The following is a 24,473-nucleotide window of genomic DNA, read 5'->3' on the forward strand; positions in this document are numbered from 1 at the left end:
GAAAGCTGTTTCAGTCTGATATTTGCAACAGAGGCAACTCAGAGCCAAATTCGAAATGAAATTAACTAGATAATAGGAAATCCTATAAAGTAGTTACAGGAAAGAGAATATTAGTACATTTTTATATCTCTATATGCTCATTTGAAAAGGTATATAGTAAAAGAAATTATGTATATAGAAAAAGGTCTATGAAAAAAATTTGCCAAATAACAACTAGGTACCACAAAGGTGTGGGCATTAATTTCCAAGATACTATGTTGCCCCTAACTATGCTCCTTTATTTCTACTTAACATCTCACTTACAGTAAAGAAAGCAGAAGAAAAAATAACGTAAAATAAGGTGATCATTTTTCAAAGCTAGAGATCCTTTAGAGGTTCTAATTTACTCCAAACGAACCTTTAAAAAATGGTCACTTTTAGTCACATGTCATTGTTTTATTATTGCGATATAATTTAAAAAAATGAATACTACAGATACTCCTTATAAATGAACAGATGTACTTGTTAATGGCTCAGAAGTAGAGCAAGGCCTTTTTCATCTCAGTTTTATATCACTGAGTTGGTAATGACCCAGGTGAAAATATGTTTTAAGTGAATCCAGTAAATGATTTGTCATTTTATAAATAAAAATGACCTTAGGTTTATTTATTTCTTACTATGCTGAAATGCACAGATATAAAATCTTCATAGGAGGTATTCTACCAGTCCACCAAATGTTGTCTCATGTTTTCTATTTGATCTTTTACAGAAACGTACCATGTCTACCCCGCTATTTTTATAAGTAAATCTCATTGCCAGAGTTTCTTTTTCTAAGTAGTAACTGTATGAGAAAATATCTGAGAATGATATGCTGTGTTTTCAGATTTGTATAATTTTACAAGTCACTACCCACTGTGTTTCTGAAATATTCCTTTTCTCATGGAAATGCGAATAATGGTCTCAGTGTTACAATTTGTAGTTTCTTAAATTTGCCATGTGTATCAGATTCACCTTTGAAAGGTCAATTGAAGCAAAAAAGTTAGACGTTTTTGGAGATAGTTTTTACCTATAAGACTTCTGATTACTTAGCTGCCTTAGATACTTGGGATTACTAAAATCTCAATTTCCTTTCAAACTGAGAATGTTTGCCCTAATAGTAAAGGCAAAGAAAAAAATTAACTTGTTATTCAGGTAGAGAATAAAGGGAAATATAAGATGATGCAGATGGTAGGAAAATAGGTATAGGACAGGATCTTTGTGAAAAATAAGAAATTGTTTCATGAATTACTTGAAAAACATGTGAATTGCCCTCAAAGCTTAAGATTTATAATTATCAAAATAATTGACACACCTTCAGAGGAGTGATTATTTCTTTGAAAAAGAAAATCATTTTAGAGTGGTCATATATTTTGCATTTATCTGATTTAATGGAAAATAGCTTTGTCTATTTTGTCAACTGCACACACATGTAATACATGTGTATACAAGAGGCATTATTTCAGAATGGCTTAATCAGCAGCTGCAGAAAGAAATATGCATTTGCAGAACCTATTGTGTTCCAGCAGGGGGCTATCGTGCATACATACAAATTAATAGCATGTTTGTTTACTTCAGTTTTCAAGTGAGTGGGGAAGTAACACAGCAGCAACACCAGCAGCAAAAGCCTCTTAGATTTGGGGAGCAAATTCCATATGTTCTGTCAGTAGATGTGAGGAAAACATTGGCAGATGTGTCACAAAGTAACTCAAATATGTGTTTAATACAGTGGGGGAAAATCTATGCCGCTAACACAAGATTAGCTATACACACAGTAGCTTTGATAATAATGTGAAAATTTGAAAGTAAATGTGGAAGTGCCCTATGACAGCCATTTTTAATCAGTTCATTTTCTTGATAGGAGGCAAAGAAGAAGACACAGAAAACTTAAAAACTTTATTTTATTTACTTTAGGTGCACAGGTTGAAATTTACATGTTGGCCATACAACCATGTACAATTTTATTTTTTTGTATCACTAAAATTTATTTGACATATTTTGTAGAAATTGCAGAGCTCTAAGTTATGCCAACAAATGAAAATAATATATAATATTCATATAAACACATTTGGTTTAGGAAAAGAACTTAATTACATACATTTACAATGGCATGGATCCACAACATACATCCTCCACATGAGCCTATGAAACCTGGATTCACCACCAGGACAGCGAGATCTTGGGTCCTTTCTCCCAAGCTGGATTATCACCAATCTATGTCTTTGTGTGTTCCCATTTAACAAATTTAGCTTTGAAGTATTTGACTTCAAAGACTTGGGGTACATTGGATGACTTATGTAGCATTTTAAGTTCTTTTAAAGCCAAAGTGTTTTAAAAATGAATATTAACAGATTTTTGTTTGTTTTTAAGATTTTTTTCCTATTGTTAGCAAGCTATTTTGAAAGACTATTGTTATATATCTGATAAAATTTGACATTTTTATGGTATTGTACTTTATCCCTACTTTAAGCAACCCTAAGAATAACAAGTAGGTATGGAAAATGTTTGAGCCATACATATATGGAAACAACTTATTTACACTGTGAAAACTCCACTGAGGGCCAACATTTTTCTCATTATAATTCTAAAACATGTTTTAAAAAAATCTCAAAAGTGTAGTTCTAGCTTGCTTAGGTATCATGTCTTGGTACCTTCACTAAGAATGCTATATACTTATGTGTAGATGTATAATTATGTACATGCAATGTATTTATGTATGTAAATATAGAATTAACATATTTGATTACCAGCATACAATGATAATTAAAAAGATAGATCTTAAAAATTGTTAATATTCCATTAGGCAGCCAGGTGTATCAATTAATTAATTAATTTAGAGATGGGGTCTTGCTCTGTTGCCCAGGTTGACCTTGAACTCCTGGGCTGAAGCAATCTTCCTGCCTCAGCTTCCAAAGTACTGGAATTAGAGGTGTGAGCCACCATGCCCAGCCTCAATTTGGATAGTAGTCAGGAGAAAGGTAAAGTTATTTTGATTAAAGTACATCTAAAGACAATTTGAATGTAACTCACTTTTGAAGATCTAGTTTGAAATATATTTTGATTGGACACATTTCACTATCATGTATTGTTTTAAACTCAATACAGTATACAGTTTTATATATGCTTTTTATAGTCAGTGTGTGCTGATAATGCCATATCACATTTAAAATATCCTTGGGACTGAGAAAATAGAAATAAAATGAAAATTTTAGAAGAATATTTTACTGGTCTGAAAATAGAAATCTTTTGCAGCTTTATTGACTAACATTTGTAGGGCTCTGAATGATGTGCTCAGACTATTTATTTTGACTATATGCAGACATTGTACATAGTAAATCGTGTCTTAAGTCTGAAAGTTCGCTTGTTCTCCAGAATGTCAGTATTAACAAAGTTCACTTTGCTAAGTTTGCTCTTGCTCTTTAATAATTAATCAAAATCTAATATTAGCAAATACACTTTATTACAAATAAAACAAGGCTCTAAAAAACCATAATAGAAAGTATTTTCTAGCTTAATCCAAATTATTTTAGTCTCTACATGTTGCCATTTAGTTTTCTGCTGTGAGATCTTACAGCTCACTGTTTTTCTAGTCATTTATGTAAAGTCTTACAAAGTCACGGTTATTTTTAAAACTATGTCTTATTAAATGCAAATTGTATTTTTCACTTTGGAGGCAGCAAATAGTAAAACCAAATTATCTTTGTACACGTATGATTCTCAAACATATTATTAAATATTTAAAAGTAAAGAAACACTTTTATTGTTTATTTTTATTTATCATGAACCAATAGACATTTCTGACCTTTCAAAAGGTTTTTAGGGTATATTGCAATTTATACTAAATTTAGACAATATTTGTATCATTGTGAATTTCGTTTGGACTCCATCTTGTGCCAGAAATTTCTGGCATAAAATTGTTATGTTAACACAAATCTTAATATAATGTGTTGGGTTAAAAAAATCCTAATGACATGTTTATTTTATAGTTTATGTTTTCAATATGGTTATTATCTTGACGGGAGTTCTGACTGAATTCAACCGCATTATTTTAATTTTTACTAGAAATTTACTTATATATGTCAGCTGTAACAAGTATTATGACACTCATTTCTAAATAAAGAATTGAATGTTTAAGAACAGTTTTTTCAGGTCAAAGCACAGTTCTGAAAGTATTCTCGGAGTAGTAAATTGGTGGTATCTACTTATCTAAGGTTTTAATACCTAATGCAATAATAAAGCCCCATCAATATATGGCTCAATAGCACATATAAAGTATCTGCTAGTAGTCCATCTCTCATAAAACCGCCTTTAGCCTTAATTCAAATCCATTGATTCCTATTCCAGTTAAAACTGAAGAACTTAATATGTCTTTTAATCCTTTTATTGTAAGCCAGGATAAAATTAATTTTACCCTAGCACTGCACAAAGCCAATTAACATGATCTTTAGAGTTATTTAGTAAAGTGCTTCAAACTGTTAAATTTATCTTGACCTCTTGGTTGCACTCTCTGACTGCTTTTTAAATGAAGTAATCAATACCTCATAGCCCTTTAAATAGCTTAAACTTCTCAAATATTTTACCTGTATTCTAGTTAAGCTGTAAGTAAAGTGTTTACTCCAGTTTGTGTAAATCTAGAGTCAATTATGCTAAATCTGAAGACAATTACGTACATTTGAAGAACACTCTGTCAAGTAAATTGTTGTTTTAATCAAAATTAAAGCCTCATATTTTGTTATAAGTAACCCAATAATGAGACCACGTATCATTTTCACACAGAACATGTATTCTGTTTGCAACTTAAAATGTAGAACATTAATGTCCTTTACCATCGCATATAGCTTCTCTTTTCCACACAGGGCTAGTTGAAGGTATTAATTTTCTTACTGTGATAGGGTGATCAACCGTCCTGTCAAGAAAATGGATCTCCATGTCACCCCTTAGCATGATTAAATGGAGGCATGTCTCTGGAAAAAAAATACCAAATTTTCATGAGACAAATGAAACTGTAGAAAGGTTTACTTTTACAGAATTATTTTATTTTTAATATCTCAAAATCTTCCATTTGGTTGTCATTTTATTTGTAGGAAAACATTGCAACTAGTTACATATTTCTTCTGTTAACAGAAAGTACAGGCAAGCCAATAATTTAAAGATATTTCCAAATTTGAAAAATTATAGGAATGAGAAATTGCTGTGTTATTTTTAGAACAGTAGCAGGATGGGCATCTCTCCCTTATAGAAACACTAATCAGTCAGTGTCTCCTTTAGGGACTCCTTTCCTTGTTCTTTTTTACCTCTTTCCTTGTTAATGAAGGGCTATCATCTTTTTAGATTTGAATACTGATAAAAATTACATACTGTAGAATTTCAGCATCAGTAGTGTTAATTGCCAGTTGGGCGGTGTTCTTATGAGCCTATGTACATGCCAACCTTTAAACTACACCAAGTGATGTACTTGACAGCTAATTAAGATTTCATATTTTGGCCACTTAGCAGAGGGTACCTGTTACAATTCTTTCCATTAGCTTAGGGATAAAATTTACAAATGATTGTTTGAAAGTACACTGTTAAAACTTCCCTAAAGTCTTAATTCCTTCCCCTGGAGTGGGAGTTAAGACAAAATTGAGGCAATTAAACAAAAGGAACATAAAGAAGGTGGGGGACCAGGGATGGAGGCGGAGCTCACCAAATGCCCCTGTTGTTTAATTTCCTACTGGAAGCAGCCCATATGTGCTTCTGTGCCCCCTCCCGCTTCAAGCAGTGGCCATTGCAGAGGCTGAACGGCTGGGGTCAATGCCTTGCCTATTGATCAGTATCCCTGCAGTCCCGTGCTCCAGCAGCTGCTTCATTGGCTTCTTTCAGGGCCTGCTTCAGTACATTAGAATAGAAATCCATAACCAGAGCTGTGCTCATCCAAGCAGGGGAAGAAACTAAATTAAATGGTATAAAACAATCTTGAATCAGGAGTTTGTGCCAATTCATCTTGATCTAAGATGTCACACCAGGCTCTCTGTCTGAGCACCTGGGCTAGAGGCAGCCATAGTGAAAATAGATGGAGCTGCGATCATTCATTTGTCAGCTAAGGAGCAAGGCAGCGGTTAGCAATTCCCTTCTGCAGAGGTCAGCTGACAGAACAATCAGTGCAACTGCAGAATAGAGCTTTCCTTTGAACTATTGTTATGGAGCATGCTCTTGCTGAGACATGGGGGAGGGGAGCTTGGTTTGCTTCCTGTTTCAAGAATACTATGTAAAGAGTAAAATATATAGTATGTGAATCTAGATGCTGTGCCACAGAGCTTTTCCTCCTTGTGCCTGTTCTTATACATAAACAAAGTTGGTTTTAAATGCATATCCTGAGATACAGATTATCAAAATGTTAAATATCACTTTTTCTAGAATTAAGGTTCTTCTAAACACAGAGGCAATGATTATTGATTTTTTTTTCTTCTTAGTATGGTTACGCATTTAGGTGGTTTTTTTCCCCCTTTAGTTACCATAGCTATCACAGATTGGTGTCACACTTTGAATCTGTAATAGCATATACCTGCTAATACTTTTTACTGACATTTCCTCTCTGTCTTTAAAAAACTAAAACTTTCCATGAAGAGAGAGAAATGCATACTTTGGTATCAGACTAGAAGATATTTTAATTATTAATTTAAAATATTTTATAAGAAATATAATTCACAAAATATGATTTATCATGACAAAATAATTTGTAACATTGGAGGGGCATCATTATTAATCAACCTGCATGTGATCTGAAATATCCTATACAAAATTCAACAAATTAAGAAAATGTTTCATAACTAAACTTTTACGTGAGCAATTAGAATAGTTTTAAAGATAAATCTATTATCTGTGGACTCCTTTTCGATTTTTCCTTTCTGTACACTACCTAAAAGTGAATGGCAAACATCCAGAACTAACTTTAAAAAAAGAAAAAGAATAAAGTGTGATGTGCGGAAGCTAAGAAACCATAACAGCAACAAGAAGAAATCTTTTTTATACTCATAATTGCACCAAACATTTTAGGAATCCAAGTAAGTAATACTCTGGTGTTACCATCTTAGTTTTCTAGATAACCAATCCTCCTTTTTCCCTTACATACGTTAAGCCACTTTCTCACTCAGTTCTTTTTAAATTATTAGATTCTTTATAATATCCTATAATTTCCATTTCTTAGACTCAACTAGGTCTTCTTGCCAACATCCAGATTTTTTTGTGCCTTTCAGCACAGCTAAACAATGGAATTTAAAGTGTATACTATAAAGTCGTGTCCTCCAGAAGTTTTTTAAAGTCAGCTTCTGGAAAGGCTGTATCTACTTTTGTTACCAGGGTTGTTTTGTTCTGTTTTGTTTTCATCAGTAATTTTTAAAAGAACTTAGGATATGATATCTCAAATCTTTCTGCCATATTTCCATCTTCTCAGACCTCATCGTGTATTGTAAAGCTCTCCACTTCCCGTGTCTTCTGTTTAACATCACAAAACCAAATCCACTGTAATCTCTCATCTTGATTTCTACAGTACCCCTCAAGTGATCACCCCACTTCTAATATTCTTTATACTATGCTTACAGTGGATTTTTGAAACCCTAAATCTAATTAAGCTATTCTGTAGTTTAAAACCCATCTTGCATACCTTCCCACTGTTTGTGGGATATAAATTGGAATGTGCATATGACCTACAGAATCATATATGATCTGGCCCTTTCCTGCCTCTCCTGCTTCATTTTCTGCAGTTCTCCTCTAGAGTTATAGAGTTCCAGCCAACTTAGCTGTCCTTGAAATAGAAATCCACAGACTCCTTCATGCTTTAAGTTCTTAAACATACTGTTTTTTCGATCCAGAAAGTTCTCATTGATTCTGTAACTTACACATTTCCAATGCCTGTTTAGTAGCCCTTAAGTTCAATGAGGGCAGGGCTTTACTTAACTGTATTAATTTTTATCTAGCATAATCCAGGCATACACAAGACCTGCAATTCTTACATGTTGAATAACTGAGTTCAGTAATGGATGGAATGAACTGCCACCACCACTGGTTCTTATTGTTGTTCACCTGATCATTGTGTGAGTCTTCTTTTGGTTTTCCTTGACACCAGTCTTGTTTGACCTCACAATTCATCCACCATACTGCCACTACCATGATCTAACAGTGAATGAATCTAACATCACCACCTTATACAGAACTATTTAATGGCTTTCAATTAGCCATAGGTTAGAAGTCTTCAGCTTGCCATATGAGGCCTCTCATGGTTTGGCACCTCTTTAGTTTGCCTTACCTCCAGTAATACAGAATGACAAAGTAAAACAAATAGATAAAATAAAACAAAATACCAAAAAATATTCAGAGAGCCTTGCTGCTAATTTCTCGGTTGGCATACCGAGCTTTGAGTGACCTTTGTTATACTCATTTAATCAACATATAGCGCAAAGAACTGAAAGCGGCCAGAAAAACTGGGTGGATTAGTATTAGAAAGAGCAGAAAGCTGACCTCCAATCAAGATGGCTCCGGGAGTTCACTTTTTTAATCCTTCTGTGCCAAATACATTGCTATGATGGATAAAGTATACAAAGAGAAAACCAAAGAGACATAACTAGGCTCAAAAAAGATATCTCTGTGGACCAGTAATGAAATAGAAATGTAATGATCTGGGCTGAAACCATTAGCTACTTTCCAGAAGCAGGCTTTTGGCTCCTATGAGCTAAAGAGGACTTACAATACATCATGAATAAAGTTTAAAGCCAGGAGCTAGGCTATAGCTTCCTCAGTTCCTGAAAGGACATTGAAAAGATCTGAGTGCATTGCTACTCAGAAAAAAATTGATAAAAAAGAAGAGGAAAATGCATGTATTAAATACGTGACTGGCAATGTTAACCATAATGTAAAATAGTGGAAATAAGTGAGTTCTATTCAACACAAGAAACTAGAAGCAAAACAGAAGAAAGAGATAATCTAAAGACAGTAGAAGGAGAAATAATAAAAATAAGAGCAGAAATTAATAAGATAGAAAACAATGATACAAAAGATCAAAACCAAAGTACTTTTTAAAACTAATTTGGGGCTGGGCACAGTGGTTCATGCCTGTAATTCCTGCGCTTTGGGAGGCGAAGGCAGGAAGATCACTTGTGGCCAGGAGTACAAGACCACCTTGGGAAACATAGTGAAACCCTGTCTCTACAAAAATAAAAATAAAAACCAAAACAAAAATAATCTGATAAAACATATATTTCCAGCAAAACTTTAAGAAAAGCATGAAAAATAATATTAGAGAAGGTATAAATACACAGTGTTTAAGGGATCCATATCTGCTGATATACTTGAGTTTTTTTAATCATATAGAGAATACTGTAAATAATTCCATACCAATAAATTTGAAAATGTAGATGAAATAGATAATTCTTTTAAAATTATAATCTGCCAGAAATGACTCAAGAAGAAGAAAGTCAAACTAAATAAGGAGCTATTTATAATAAATATTCCTTCCTTCATCCTGCTACTTTTGCCACCATATCCTACCCTCTGACTCCACACAGGGAGTGTCTCGAAATGCAGACTTAATAGTTTTAGAGGAGAACTTTCATGAAACTTCAAGAATCCTTCAACTGTTTTCAAGGAATGATGGAAGGGGGACCTCAGGGACTGAGAGTGAACGTTACTTAACTCATTTCTGAGGCTCGTATTATGTTGATACTAAGTATAGAATATGAAAAGAAAAGTATAGACCAGTCTCACTTATGGACATGGATATAAAAAAGCCTATTAGCAAATTTAGTTCAGGGTCTGTCTGTTGGTGTGTTTATCTGTTGGTGTTATCTATCTGTCACTGCTTATCCATGCATACGTTTGTTTATCCAGGGTTTACCCCAGATATGGAAGCATAGTTCAAGGCCAGAAAATATATTAATTTATTTCAGGTAACATTGATATAATTATATAATAGATATAAAATTTGATAAGGTCAGAATTGTGGTGACCTTTAGGGCAGGAGGGCAAGGCAGTGAGGTCAAGACACAGTCCATGGTGGGCTTTGATAATACCCAGATTAATTACTTTATAAAAATTGGAAACCTTTGGAAAAACATCAGTATTTTATAAGGTTCATTAGTTGTGTACATGTTAGTCATGATTTCTTTATATATTTTCTACTAATTCTGTGGATGCTTATAATATTGCATAATAAATATCAAAAAATAATGGTAGACTATTTTTAGAATGGAGTAGAACTAAAAAAGGGTAGAACTATGTAAGTCTTAAAAGAATGTAGCAAGAGTGAGGTTAAGAAAGGAAATTTTAAGAAGTAACATTCCTATTATGCCCTATTTATTGGTATTCTAATCAAGATATAAAATTGTTTTAATTATTTTTGGGTATCCTTCTAATCTTTCTTCTGAATATGAAACTATGCTGAGCTTTGCTCCAGTAACAAGTATTTCTTCAAATATCTGATTGCTGTTTTGCATTCTGTGCCATACTGGATGAAATAATCATCCTTCTCCTCCTCGTATGGCCCATCCCTCTTATTGCCTGGAAAACTTACCCTTTGAGTCTTAAATCCAATGTGCTCTCTTTTTTTCATGCACTTGTGAGATTCTTAGAAACCTGAGCTGTTTATTTTCATGCTTGTTATTTTCTGATCCAAAGTAGATGCCCAATAAATATTTGTTAAATTAATGGGCACATTAATAAATTACTCAATGAACAATCTTTCTAAAAAAACAAATGTACTGAGATAAGATGTATGTTGTATAAAATTCATCCTTTTAAAATGTGGAATTCAGTGATTCTTAGCATATTTGGGGTTGTGCAGATATTACCTCAATCTAATTTTAGAACATTTTCATTACTCCCTAAAACTAGTACTTATTAGCTATTGTTAACCATTTTACCCCCACTCCAGCCAACCACTAATCTGCTTTCTGTCTCTATGGATTTGCCTATTCTAAACATTTCATATAAATGGAATCATACAATATATGGTCTTTTGTGACCAGCTTCTTCCCCTTAGCGTAATGTTTTCAGCGTCATTTTTGTGGCATGTATCATTACTTCATTCCTTTTTTATTGCTGAGTAATCTAATTTTGTATGGATATACTTAGATTTGTACAAAAGTAATCGCTATTTTTGCCACTGAAAGTAATGGCAAATACTGCGATTACTTTTGCACCAACCTAATACATTTTCTTTATTCTTCAGTTGATGGACATTTCAGTTGTTTCCAAGGCTATTTTGAATAATGCTGCTGTGAGCATCCATGTCTTTGTGTGTACATGTGTGTCATTTCTGTTTGGGAGATACGTTGGAGTGGAGTTGCTGGGCCACATGGTAACCCTATGTCTAACTTGTTGAGGAACTGCCAAGCTGTTTTCCAAAGTAGTTGTGCCATTTTTATCATGCCCAACAACAAAGCATGAGGGTTTCCATTTCTGTGCATCCTCAACAGCACTGTAATGGTCTTTTTTATTGCAGCCATTCTCATGGATGTGAAGTGGTATCTCATTGTGGTTTTGCTTTGCATTTTCCTCATGACTAATGATGTTTAGCATCTTTTCATGTGCGTGTTGACCATTCATACAACTTTGGAAAAATATCTATTCAGATTGTTCTTATTATTGAGTCATGAAAGTTTTTATATATTCTGGAAATAATTTTTATTAGATAGGTGATTTGACAATAGTTTCTCTGATTCTGTGGGTTGTCTTTATCCTTTCTTGATTCTGTCTTTTCAAGCACAAAAGTTTTTAGTATTGATGAAATCCTATGTAAAATTTTTAAAAAATTACTGGTGCTTTTGGTATCATATCTAAGAAATCATTATATAATCCAGAATTACAAACATATACACCTATGTTGCCTTCTTAGAGTTGTTTTTTGTTTTAGCTGTTATATTTAGGATTATGATCAATTTTCAGGTTTTTTTTTGGAAGGTTAGAGATAGGGGTCTGTCTAAATTCATCCTTTTGCCTGTGAGTAACCATTTGTCCTAGTGCCATTTGCTGAAAATGCTATTCTTTCCGAACGTGCAGTCCTGAATGTTTTTCTAATCATGTGTCTTTTTGTATATTGATTTGTTCTAAGTTGAGATTCTATGTTTTGGTCTTCAGGTTGCTTATCAAGTGTCCCACAAATGAAAAAAATTTCTACATCTTACGAGGAAAGACGGAAGCAAGCTACCGCTATTGTTTTACTTGGAGTAATAGGAGCTGAATTTGGTGCTGAAATTGAACCTCCTAAACTATTGACCAGACCTCGAAGCTCTAGCCAAATTCCTGAGGGATTCGGGTTGACTAGTGGTGGATCCAACTACTCGCTGGCCAGACATACTTGTAAGTTTTAAAACTTCTAATGCTGATCTGTTGCTTCTGAATACATATTATTTGTCAGCAAAATCTCATAACATTGACTATATCCTGAGTTTTAGCTCATTTAGATTGCTTGCGTGAAGTTAGAAAGCAGTACAATCTGGCACATTTCCCGTTAGTTACAGTAACCTGAACTCCTTTTTAAAAGTTAAAACATCGTCTTTTAAATGCTATTCTTAAAATAACACATTTCTGACCTTTGTATTTTTGCATTGTTCGTCAAGATTTTAGCCAGAATTTATGAAAGCTAGATTCAAGTTAAAGCTTTTAAAATAATTTCTGGAAAACTATGCAGTTTGTTCTGAATGTGGTTTGAAAAGTCAGGACTGGGGTGGAACACCAGTCTTTTCTTTTGAAAAGAAAATATATTCATTCTCCTTTCAATAAATAAATTCTCAACACATATTTGTTAAATTAATGGGCATATTAATAAATTTGTATATGTGATAATACATATAAATAATACATGGGTTTATGAAAAAGAGCATACATGATGAATTATGAATTAACCCTGTAATTTAAAAAATATTCCAGTAACAGTTTTTAAATGACTATAGACTATAACAATCAAAATTCAAAGGGCTGTGTCATTCTACTCTCTTTGGTTCTGTGCTTGGTATGTTAATAATAGGTAAGGGTGCTTTAAAATAAGCTCTTTTGGTTCTTCAGTGTCAGAATTCCTTTCAGTAAGGTCAGAGTGGCATGTGGCACCATATAGCAAAATTATTTCTAATAAATTGTGTCCTCTTAAGGAACAAATATAGTCCAACTGAATACATCACAAAATATTCTTGTAGAACAAAATGCAATAGATCCTTTTGCTTTTTTGGCCTTTAAGCAAGAGAAAAAGATGCATGTTACTTTGTTATTTATGACAGCAGTGAACTTCACTGGACCATTGCCACATACTCTTGCTGTAAAACTGAGGGCCATGTTAGTGACTTTTATTATAAAAGCCCTTCAATAGACTTAGCTGCCCCTCCTATAACTGTTTTTTGAAAGACTTCATTCAACAAATACTTATTAGTGATAATCTCTTGATCTCAGTTTGAGAATCAGAGTAATAACGTTTAAATTTAAACAATACCACCACCAACCATAATGATGCAACTATTATGAGCACTATTTTTTTTTAGCTCTTTACATGCATTACCTCACTTCATCCTCATAATAACCCTGTAAAGTGGATCCCTCTTATCTCGATTTTATGCATAAAGCTGGTGGGGCATAGAGAGGTTTAGTTAACCTGGCAAGGATCATACCTCTGGGAAAGGAGTTTTTGTTTCCATCTAGTCTGTTGTTCCAGAGTTCATGCTTTTGACCATTATGCAAACTGCTGCTATTCAGTGGCTCCCAGTTGGAAAGGGCTTAATGACTAATATGTGCTGTAACTTTACAATTTATTGATTTATTTTATTTTATTTTTTGAGACAGAGTCTCTCTCTGTCACCCAGGCTGGAGTGCAGTGGCATGATCTTGGTTCACTGCAACCTCCTGCCTCAGCCTCCCAAGTAGCCAGGATTACAGGTGTAGGCCACGATGACTGGGTAATTTTTGTATTTTTCATAGAGACGGGGTTTCCCCATGTTGGCCAGGCTGGCCTCAAACTCCTGACCAGAAAGGATCCACCCACCTCAGCCTCCCAAAGTGCTAGGATTACAGGCATGAGCCACTGCACCTGGCTATAACTTTACAATTTAAAAAACACTTTCTTTCCTGTCTTTCCCCTCATTTGATCTTCAAAATGAACTTAAGACTTCTTCAAAGTGACTCAGCCAAAAAGTAGTAAAACCTAAACTTGAACTCAAGTGTCTTGCGACCTGAGAACCGTTTCCCTTCTCCACCTGGGCACATTACTCTCCCTCTACGGCCAACAACTACATGCTTACTGGCTCCTACCTCCCCACTCGGGCTTATTTATCTTTTCTCAAGTTCTTCAAGATCCCTGCTATCCATTCCTAAAACCTTGCTTAAATCTCACCATTTCTACAAAGGGCTCTTTAATTAGTCTAGCTTATCTGTCACTTCAGACAGCCCAGGACTTAACATATGTAGAGCAGGTCCTTATTTAGAAGTTTGGCATTAGACTATTAGAGGTTAATGAAGCTTTGACATGATTTGGTGTGGTGGCTTTCAAACTTTTTTGCTCAATAACTCCCTGAGAGTGTCAAGAAATGTCTAATCCTTTGCACATTTTATGTTGACAGCTACAACTTTTTAATTGCAAAATATATTTTCACAGTATCTTGAGGAGATTGTGAATATTGATGTTTAAAAATAAAACTTATGGCTCTTTCTAATATATTCAGTAGAATATTTAACTATTTCATATCCATCATCATCAATTTTTAATAAATACCTGAACAAACTTCCCATTAAAAATCAGAAATCTTAAATCCTTTATTATTTTCTTTGAAGTGGAAATTTCTACCCTCACAGTTTTAGGGAAGGAGTTCATTAGCAAATTTAGCACCCAGAAATCAATTCCTTTAAAATACCTAGGTCTTAAACTGTTTGTGCTTCTAAAACTACCTATTCCTTGAAACTTTTAATATACTCCTGTTTGAAGAGGGTTACCTATTTTGAAGACCACTGATTAAGTCTAACATATTTTGTGTAATTTCTCAACACCATCCTTTTGTATTTGATATTTTCCTGCAAGGAGAGTGAAAATAAATGCTGTTTCATTTAGAATTTTTCCATTGCTTAGTACAAATATCTGTATATAAATGTAGGAACGGCTGGGCGCGGTGGCTCACACCTGTAATCCCAGCACTTTGGGAGGCCGAGGTGGGTGGATCGGGAGGTCAGGAGATTGAGACCACAGTGAAACCCCATCTCTACTAAAAATACAAAAAATTGGCCAGATGCGGTGGCAGGCGCCTGTAGTCCCAGCTGCTCGGGAGGCTGAGGCAGGAGAATGGCGTGAACCTGGGAGGTGGAGCTTGCAGTGAGCCGAGGTGGCGCCACTGCCCTCCAGCCTGGGCGACAGAGCGAGACTCCGTCTCAAAAAAAAAAAAAAAAAAAAAGCAGGAAGGTGGTAAATAAATGAATTGCTGATTGGTTGCATTCAGGCTCTGGGCTGGATGCTGGGTAGGTTAGTTTACATCTCATTATCCTAGTTATGTAAGAGAGTACTGTTGTCATCACTTTTCTAATCACAGTTTATCTTTACACAAAATTGTGTTATTTGTGAATTAGCTTCTATATGACTTTTCTTTTAACTGTAATAATTTTATTTTTTAAATTTTTATCTGTTTACAGTTTTTTTAAAAGTCCATTTAATCTCTCAGTCTTGTTTTTTTGTTTTTTTTTTTTAAATTTCAATAGGTTTTGGAGGAGCAAGTGTTGTTTGGTTACATGAATAAGTCCTTTAGTCGTGATTTCTGAGATTTTGGTTCACCCATCACCCTACCAGTGCACACTGTACCCAGTGTGCAATCTTTTATCCCTCACCCCTCTCCCACCCTTTCCCCTGAATCCTGAATGTCCATTGTATCATTCTTATGCTTTTGAGACATCATAGCTTAGTTCCCACGTATGAGTGAGAACATACGATGTTTGGTTTTCTATTCCTGAGTTACTTCACTTAGAATAATGGTCTCCAGTTCCATCCAGATTTCTGTAAATGCCAATATTTCATTCCTTTTTATGGCTGAGTAGTACTCCATGGTGTGTATATATACCACAATTTCTTTATCCAGTCATTGATTGATGGGCATTTCGGCTGATTCCATATTTTTGCAATTGCTAATTGTGCTGCTATAAATATGGGTGTGCAAGTATCTTATTCATATAATGACTTGTTTTCCTCTGGGTAGATACCCTATATTGGGATTGCTGGATTAAGTGGTAGTTCTACTCTTAGTTTTTTAAGGAATCTTCACACTGTTTTGCATAGTGGTTGTACTAGTTTACATTCCCAACAATGGTGTAAAAGCGTTCCCTTTTCATAACATCCACGACAACATCTATTATTTTTTGATCATGGCCATTCTTGCAGGAGCAAGGTGGTGTCGCATTGTGGTTTTGATTTGCCTTTCCCTGATAATTAGCGATGTTGACCATTTTTTTCATATGTTTGTTGGCCATTTGTATATCTCCTTTTGAAAATTGTCTATTCATGTCCTTAGCCAGTCTTTTGATGGGATTGTTTGTTCTTACTGATTTGTTTGAGTTCCTTGTAGTTTCTGGATATTTGTCCTTTGTCAGATGTGTAGATTGTGAAGATTTTCTCCCACTTTGTGGGTTGTCTGTTTACTCTGCTGGTGGTTTCTTTTGCTGTGTAGAAGCTTTTTCATTTAATTAACTCCCATCTATTTATCTTTGTTTTTGTTGCATTTGCTTTTGGGTTCTTGGTCATGAAGTCTTTCCCTAAGCCAATGTCTAGAAGGGCCTGAGAACCACACTCCCATCCCCCACCACGGCTGCAGCAAGCCAGGCCCAAAAAGAGTCTGAGCTCAGACATGCCTAACCCTGCCCCAACCTGATGGTCTTTCTCTACCTGCCCTGATAGCAAAGACAAAGGACATAAACACTTGGGAGCTCTAGGGCCCTACCCACCACCTGATCCTCCCTATACTACCACAGCTGATGCTTTCTTGAAAGCACCACCTCCTGGCTGGAAGCCAACCAACACAAAACTGGTGCAATAAAACTACAACTAAGGATGCTCACAGAGTCTATTTCACTCCCTGGCCACCTCCACTGGAGTGGGTGCTGGTATCCATGGCTGAGAGACCTGAAGACGGTTCACATCACAGGTCTCTGTGCAGAATGCCTCAGTCCCAGCCCAGAGCCCGGTAGCTCTGCTGGCTGTCTAGACCCAGAAGACAAATAACCATTACAGTTTGGCTCTCAGGAAGCCACATCCACAGTGGAAGGGGGAGAGCAGTACATCAAGGGAGCACCCCATGGGACAAAAGAATCTGAACAGCAGCCTTGAGCCCCAGATCTCTTTGACATAGCCTATCCAAATGAGAAGGAACCAGAAAAACAATTCTGGTAATATGACAAAACAAGGTTTTGTAATACCTCCAAAAGATCATACTAGCTCACCAGCAATGGATCCAAACCAAGAATAAATTTCTGAATTGCCAGAAAAAGAATTCAGAAGGTCAATTATTAAGCTAATCAAGGAGGCACCAGAGAAAGGTGAAGTTCAACTTAATGAAATCAAAAAAATTATATAAGATATGAAGGGAAAAATCTTCAGTGAAACAGATAGCACAAATAAACAATCACAACTTCTGGAATGAAGGACATGCTTAGAGAAATGTGAAATACACTGGAAAGTCTCAGCAATAGAATCGAACAAGCAGAAGAAAGAACTTCAGAACTCAGCTGGGCGCGGTGGCTCATGCCTGTAATCCCAGCACTTTGGGAGGCCCAGGCGGGCGGATCACGAGGTCAGATCAAGACCATCCTAGCTAACACGGTGAAACCCTGTCTCTACTAAAAAAAAAAATACAGAAAATTAGCCAGGCATGGTGACGGGCACCTGTAGTCCCAGCTACTCGGGAGACTGAGGCAGGAGAATGGCATGAACCCAGGAGGCGGAGTTCGCAGTGAGCCGAGATCACGCCACTGCACTCCAGCCTAGGCGACAGAGCGAGACTCTGTCTCAAAAAAAAAAAAAAACAAAAAACTTCAGAACTCGAACACAAGGTTTTTGAATTAACCCAATCCAACAAAGACAAAATAATTTTAAAAGAATTTTTAAAAATGAACAAAGCCTCCAAGAAGTTTGGCATTTTGTTAAATGACCTGAGACCTAAATGACCTCTCCTGTTTAAACCTAAGAATAATTGGTGTTCCTGAGAAAGAAGGGGAATCTAAAAGTTTGGAAAACATATTTGAGGGAATAATCGAGGAAAACATTTGCACCCTTGCTAGAGATCTAGACATCCAAATACAAGAAGCTCAACACCTGAGAAATTTATCACAAAAAGATCATGACCTAGGCACATAGTCATCAGGTTATCTAAAGTCGAGATGAAGGAAAGATTCTTAAGAGCTGTGAGGCAAAAGCACCAGGTAACCTATAAAGGAAAACCTATCAGATTAACAGCAGATTTCTCAGCAGAAGCCCTAAAAACCAGAAGGGATTGAGGCCCTACCTTTAGCTTCCTTAGCCAAAACAATTATCAGCCAAGAATTTTGTATCCAGCAAAACTAAGTAAGATCCATAAATGAAGGAAAGATAAAGTCTTTTTCAGACAAACAAATGCTAAGAGAATTTGCCTCTACCAAGCCAGCACTACAGGAACTGCTAAAAGGTCTAAATCTTGAAACAAATCCTTGAAATACACCAAAATAGAACCTCCTGAAAACATAAATCTCACAGGACCTACAAAACAAAAATAAATAAAAAGGTATTCAGGCAACAAATAGCACAATGAATAGAATAATACCTCATATCTCAGTACTAACATTGAATGTAAATGGCCTAAATGCTCCACTTAAAAGATACAGAATGGCAGAATGGATAAGAATTCACCAACCAAGTTTCTGCTGTCTTCAAGACACTCACCTAACACATAAGGACTCATGTAAACTTAAGCTAAAGCGGATATCTTTTTCTACAAAAGATATTCCATGCAAATGGACATCAAAAATAAGCAGAAATAGCTATTCTTATATCAGACAAATTTTAAAGCAACAGCAGAAAGACAAAGAGGGACATTATCTAATGATAAAAGGACTTGCCCAACAGGAAAATATCACAATTTTAAATATATATACACCTAACACTGGAGCTCCCAAATTTATAAAACAATTACTACTAGAACTAAGAAATGAGATAGCAACACAATAATAATGGGGGACTTCAGTACTCCACTAACTGTGATAATTTTATTTGAAAATTGTTACTACTATCACTAGAAAAAGAGGAAAGAATTAGGGGAAAAAAGGGATTTGAAAAGCTGTGGCAGAGTAGAAACATATTTTTCAAAGAAATCTTGGGAACTGAAGGGCCTTAGGACTGCTCATTTGGATTGTTAAAAGACAGGAAGTTGAACTATATGGAAAGGGGTTCTGGAGTGTATTTCTGGCATGAGCTCAACCTGGGCTGAACGGCACTATGGGGAGGGACTTTTGCATGATTTCTCCTCAACTTTCCCAATGAAGATAAATAAAATTTATGCAAACATTTTAAATATTTAAGTGTTTTAGAACCTGGCCTGTTCTTTGAGCATTTTGAATAAAGGACTAGATATGGGAAGGGAAGACTGCAATGCTTCTTAGTAAATTCTATTTATGAGCGATTTTGGGAAGTTTCTAGCAGGCAAGGAATAGTGTATCAGAATGAATGATATAGTACCTCATAGAAACAATTTAAAATGTGTAGAATGTCCTTGATATTTTTTTTCCTTTCTTGTTCTTAGCCTATTTTATTTTAACTGCTATAAAAATATTTTAAAGGTAAACATGGATTTGCTTTTAACTTTTATCCCATTAACCTATTTTTTTTTTTCCTCAGAGGTCTTAAGTTCCTTGATGGTAATTTTGCCAACCACAGGGATTTTCAAGACCTTTCTTATTTGAATTGGGATGTCTTAATTAAATTTAAATTTATCAGTTTAAATCTTGCTCTCCTGTTTGAAAACAATTAGATGTCTAAATGACCCTCTGTCTTACGTGTACTCTTTTTGATCAGTCATGTGTAATATTAACCTATTATAATGTTAACCTGCTGGAAGCTGTTACATGTATTGTCATGTTTGTTTATGTGGCATTTAGAATGCATTGCTACCATTAAATATTTACTCTTTATGGCATCCTATTGAATGAGAGAATAATTATTATCCTCATTTTGAGATAAGGCCATTAAGATACAATATTTAATGAACTTTAATTGCTAATGTAGTTAGAGGCATAGATAGTGAGTTCTAACCTTCCTCCTGAAGCATTCTGTGAAAACCCATAATGTAGTGAAACCCCAGTTATCCACATTGATGGGAGGAAGGAATGACACTGATGCGTAATTCAAAAGCCATACTTAGTTTTGTAACGTATCTTATACTTTTTTGAACATAGATGAATCTTTTATGGGAGTTACACTTTACATATATTGAAATCACATGTCAAAGACGAAGCTGAAGGACTCTGAAGATTAATGAGAAGCCTAGATTAGGCTAGTGTTACGTTGTGCCCTTGGGTAAGCTATGTATCCCTCTGGGTTGCAGAATTCTCTTGCATAAAATAAAAGGCAGGAGCTATTCTGACTTTAAAACTTCTTTTGGTCCAAATAGTCTTCTGCTCCTGAAGGGAAATACAAAGCATTTCAGGAAATTCATCTCCTTCATCACCTTCCGATTTTCTTCTCCATGCAGGGATGGCTGCTGTCTTGTTTTATATCAGCACACTTCAGTGGAGATCCTTCTGCATTTTTATTCCAACCCACAAATGAGGCATTATTAGAATGTTTTAAGGTATTATTTATGACATTACCTTATAGGTCTTTTGGTTCATTCTTTCATTGGGTCTCTTCTGCTCATTTTATAATTGTGGAATTATGCTGGCACATCTGTAGTAAATTCCATTTTGCTCTCTCATTAGCTTTTTGACTTTGGGCAAGTGTCGTAAGTCATTTCCCGAGGCAGCAGACTCCGAGGCAGATTTGTGTGCAGGGGTATTCTTAGGATCAATGTCTATCTTAAGGGGAGTGAAACAGGATTAGGCAGAGGGGGAAGTTGAATTGTGTTTTAGTTACATAGAAGGCCTCAGTTGATTTGGGGGAACTCTGGAGCTGGGATGACCCTTCAGACTTGTCCTGAATTAGGGATCAGGGCTCAACTTTAATATCCCCTTGTCAGTCAGTCATTGGATTGGAAAAGGGTTGGGAGGCCTAGGAAGGGGATGTAACTTTGGATAAGGCAGCTTTCCTTATCCTAGGGCAAAGCCCACAGAGGGATTCCACTGAGACTTGTCAGCCACAGACACAAGAACTTAGGGAAGTGGGGACTTCAGTCATGATGGGGAGGAGATGGGCAACCTTGCCAGCTTCCTCTGCAGCATGCTACTAAATTACGTGTGTCCCAGTTCTCTTTCTATTTTAACAAATGGAGAGAGGAAGAAACTGTCATTTATTTAACACCTTTTTAATTCCAACTCCATACATATCTCTTGTTACCCTGAAAGACATTTTTGTCCAACACTTAGCACAATATGAGGCATGTTAATAATAGCTGATCATTGACCATTTACTGTTTGCCAGACATTTTGCTGTATACTTGACGTGTATTATTTACTCTCTTAGTCCTATCAAATAAGTACCATTGCTATTCTCATTTATCAGATGAAGAAACTGAAGCTTTGCTTAGTACCACTGAATATATTTACTAAAGATTTCTAAAATTGGATTAAACTTTGTGCAGACAATAAATTGAGGGCATAGGTTAAATTTTTTAAAAAGATTACACTGCTAAAAAGTACGAAGCCTGGACTGAAACACCTGTGTTCTAACTCTAAAGCAGCATATTTTCACCATTCCACATATTTTTGTGTGTTATAAAGAAGATTCAGAACTGCTGCTACAGAGAAGAGAGGAGGGGATGCCAGCAAGTACCAGGTCACCTGTGAATACGGACATCTATTGAAGCTTTCATTTAGGAATGTGCTGTTGCTATGGATATGCATAGACATAAAAAATTCACATATCTGGGCTTTAGGAATGGCTTTCTCTTTGGTATGAGATACACTAGAGATAATTAATTTTTTCCCACAGTGAGTCTTTAGAAATACTACAATGCTGGCCAAGGTACATGATCTACCTGCCATTACATGGAAAAAGCCACATTTATGTGCATTTGTGGTTTTTGTTTTTGTTGCTGTTTTCCCTAGGAAAAGGATGCACAGATTCCATGAAGTTCTCAAAAGAAGGCCATTAAATAAAAATGGATAAGAACCACTGCAGGAGTTTGTTGAAATAATTGCTTACCTGTTATTATGACTTTTTAAAACAATATAGTTACAGATTAGTTCAGCCACAACACTGCACCACTAAATGGAAGCCTCAATTCTGCCTAAGGGATATTGCAATTCTATGAACTTGTATTTCAATTTTTATATTGTTCTGGTGCTGTTTGGTTTTTATTTTGTTGTAGTGTACTTTGTGAAAATGATCCCCCAAGTACTCCCTGTGCTTTTTAATCATGCATATTTTATTTAATGAATAGGTTAATATAGGTTGAGATTGATTTTATAATGAATTTATTTCCTAGATTTTAAGAGAAGAAAGTGAAGCCAAATTTCAAATGTTTTATTAGCAAGCTTACGACAATGCCACAGAATTGCAATTAATAACAAAACTAGTGGTAGTTGCAAGTTATGTTAAAAAGTAGCAACAATGACAAGCCATTTGCAAAGATAAGCAATAGCAAAAGAACAGATATTCTTACCATTCACAAATAGTTATCAGATTGTGTTGCTGAAATGCTGCTGTGGCCATAGAGATTGCATTTCTGTTTGATTTCCTTTGTGTTTCCAACCTGGCCATCCTGGCACTTGGAATGAATCTGGCCTTCCTATCTGGCTCCTTACTCTCTTCTCTGACTTGTTTGTTCTCAGTGCACTAACTCAGCGTCCCATGTTCCTTACCACCACCTCTCACTTGTATTTTTATCTTTGAAAATCATCCTGGTTGCAGATGCCACTGGACTTACATCACCATTACATCTGTGTTTAGACAGTGACTCTTCACTTAAGCTATGTACTCAAATCACTTGCAGAATGTTTTTAAAATGTGAGTATCTGAGCATTTAGGTAGTCTTCCTATTCAGAAAGCCAGGGGTGGGATTCAGGCATCTGTATTCTTTTTAAAACTTCATATGTAATTTTGATGTGTAGCCAGAGTAGAGAGACCCAGTAGAATCTAGAATCTTTTACAGTTATTTTAAATTGAGTATTTTATGGTAGCTGTAGTCATTAAACTACCTTAATGCACAAATTATACCTTTTCTTTACATTTTCAAATGGAAGAGATAACGGGAACTAATCAGAGTGAATACATGACATTTATACTACTTTCAGAACTAATTCTTTAGGTAGTTCAGCCTTTTTATTGTGATTTTGTTATTTGGGAACCAGAGCTTGGTTTCGAATCTTGGTATCACCACATCACAGCTGTGTGGCCTTGAATACTTTGTGGCTCGATTTCCTTAACTAAGACACAGGAATAGTATATAACAGTAGCTCCTACCTCACAGTTATTGTAAGGATTAAGTAAATCAATGCATGAAAAAAATGCCTGACATATAAGTACTTATAAATGTTAGTTTCTGTTGTTGTTGTTGTTAAATGTGTTTGTAGAAGAATAAGGAAAGGAAATAGCTCTTTAAAATCTGTATATAGTTTTTAATCTTCGTAAGAACCCTGTGAGGTAGATAGTATTATCACCATTTTGTATATAAGTGAACTGATATTCTTAAAAAATCAAGTAAATTCCTTAAAGTTATCTGTCCTATAAACACTCTGAATCCAGATGCATTTTTCCCCCAAAGCTCATGCTGTTCTTTTCTGTAACATATACTGATTTTCACTGTTTGTGGTAAAATACATTAGTTCTCAGAGGATTTGTGTAAAAATATACTTTTCTTTGGCCACATTATCATACACATTTTATATGTTTAAATATAACACTAAATATTTTTGTAATTATTTATGTTTGGATGAATTTCTGTATGTTTATTACCTTATTTCTCATTTCAACCACATCAGCATACTAAGTTCAGATTGGATGGAAGTTTTGGCTACTCATTTTGCTCTTACTTGTAAATAATATATGTTGTATAACAGCTTTATCATTTTTAACTGCGATCTGACACTTACATTATAGACCCTGCCTGTCTTGATGATGTAATCTCATCCTACTTCTCCAAAAATAACTTTAATTTGCAACCATTTTTTGTTAAGCCACTACACTAAGGACTTTGAATTTCTCTTCCAGAAAACAAGTAATTCACACAAAGCTATTTCTAAGGCCATTTCCATCTGAAATTATAGACCTCTATGAAATTAATGTGATGTATTATTTTAACTGTAGAGTGCTTGTATTTATTTTGCCACTTGAACTTGCCTATCTCACTTTA

At 35.2% G+C, this 24,473-nt stretch overlaps 1 protein-coding gene across 11 annotated transcripts in view, besides 1 other annotated feature; it reads left to right on the plus strand.

Moving 5' to 3' along the window:
• Positions 1-24,473, plus strand: part of WDR7 (WD repeat domain 7) — a 385,248-nt gene that overhangs the window by 216,462 nt on the left and 144,313 nt on the right. For all 11 annotated transcript variants that reach the window (XR_007066131.1, XR_007066132.1, XR_007066133.1 and 8 more), the window contains one exon: positions 12,124-12,345. Coding sequence is in view for 7 of the 11 variants with exons in the window: in NM_015285.3 (NP_056100.2) it covers positions 12,124-12,345 (222 nt within the window). In the remaining 4 variants the exon portion in view is untranslated. The remainder of the gene's footprint in view (positions 1-12,123; positions 12,346-24,473) is intronic.
• Positions 5,902-6,490: an enhancer, noted in NCBI's record as "OCT4-NANOG-H3K27ac hESC enhancer chr18:54540953-54541541 (GRCh37/hg19 assembly coordinates)". NCBI's record gives its function as "activates a minimal SCP1, AML or CMV promoter by ChIP-STARR-seq in primed H9 embryonic stem cells {active_cell/tissue: H9 hESC(primed)}" and the evidence as "EXISTENCE:reporter gene assay evidence [ECO:0000049][PMID:30033119]".

The sequence above is a fragment of the Homo sapiens genome, chromosome 18 (assembly GCF_000001405.40).
Source record: "Homo sapiens chromosome 18, GRCh38.p14 Primary Assembly".
Classification (NCBI taxonomy): domain Eukaryota; kingdom Metazoa; phylum Chordata; class Mammalia; order Primates; family Hominidae; genus Homo; species Homo sapiens.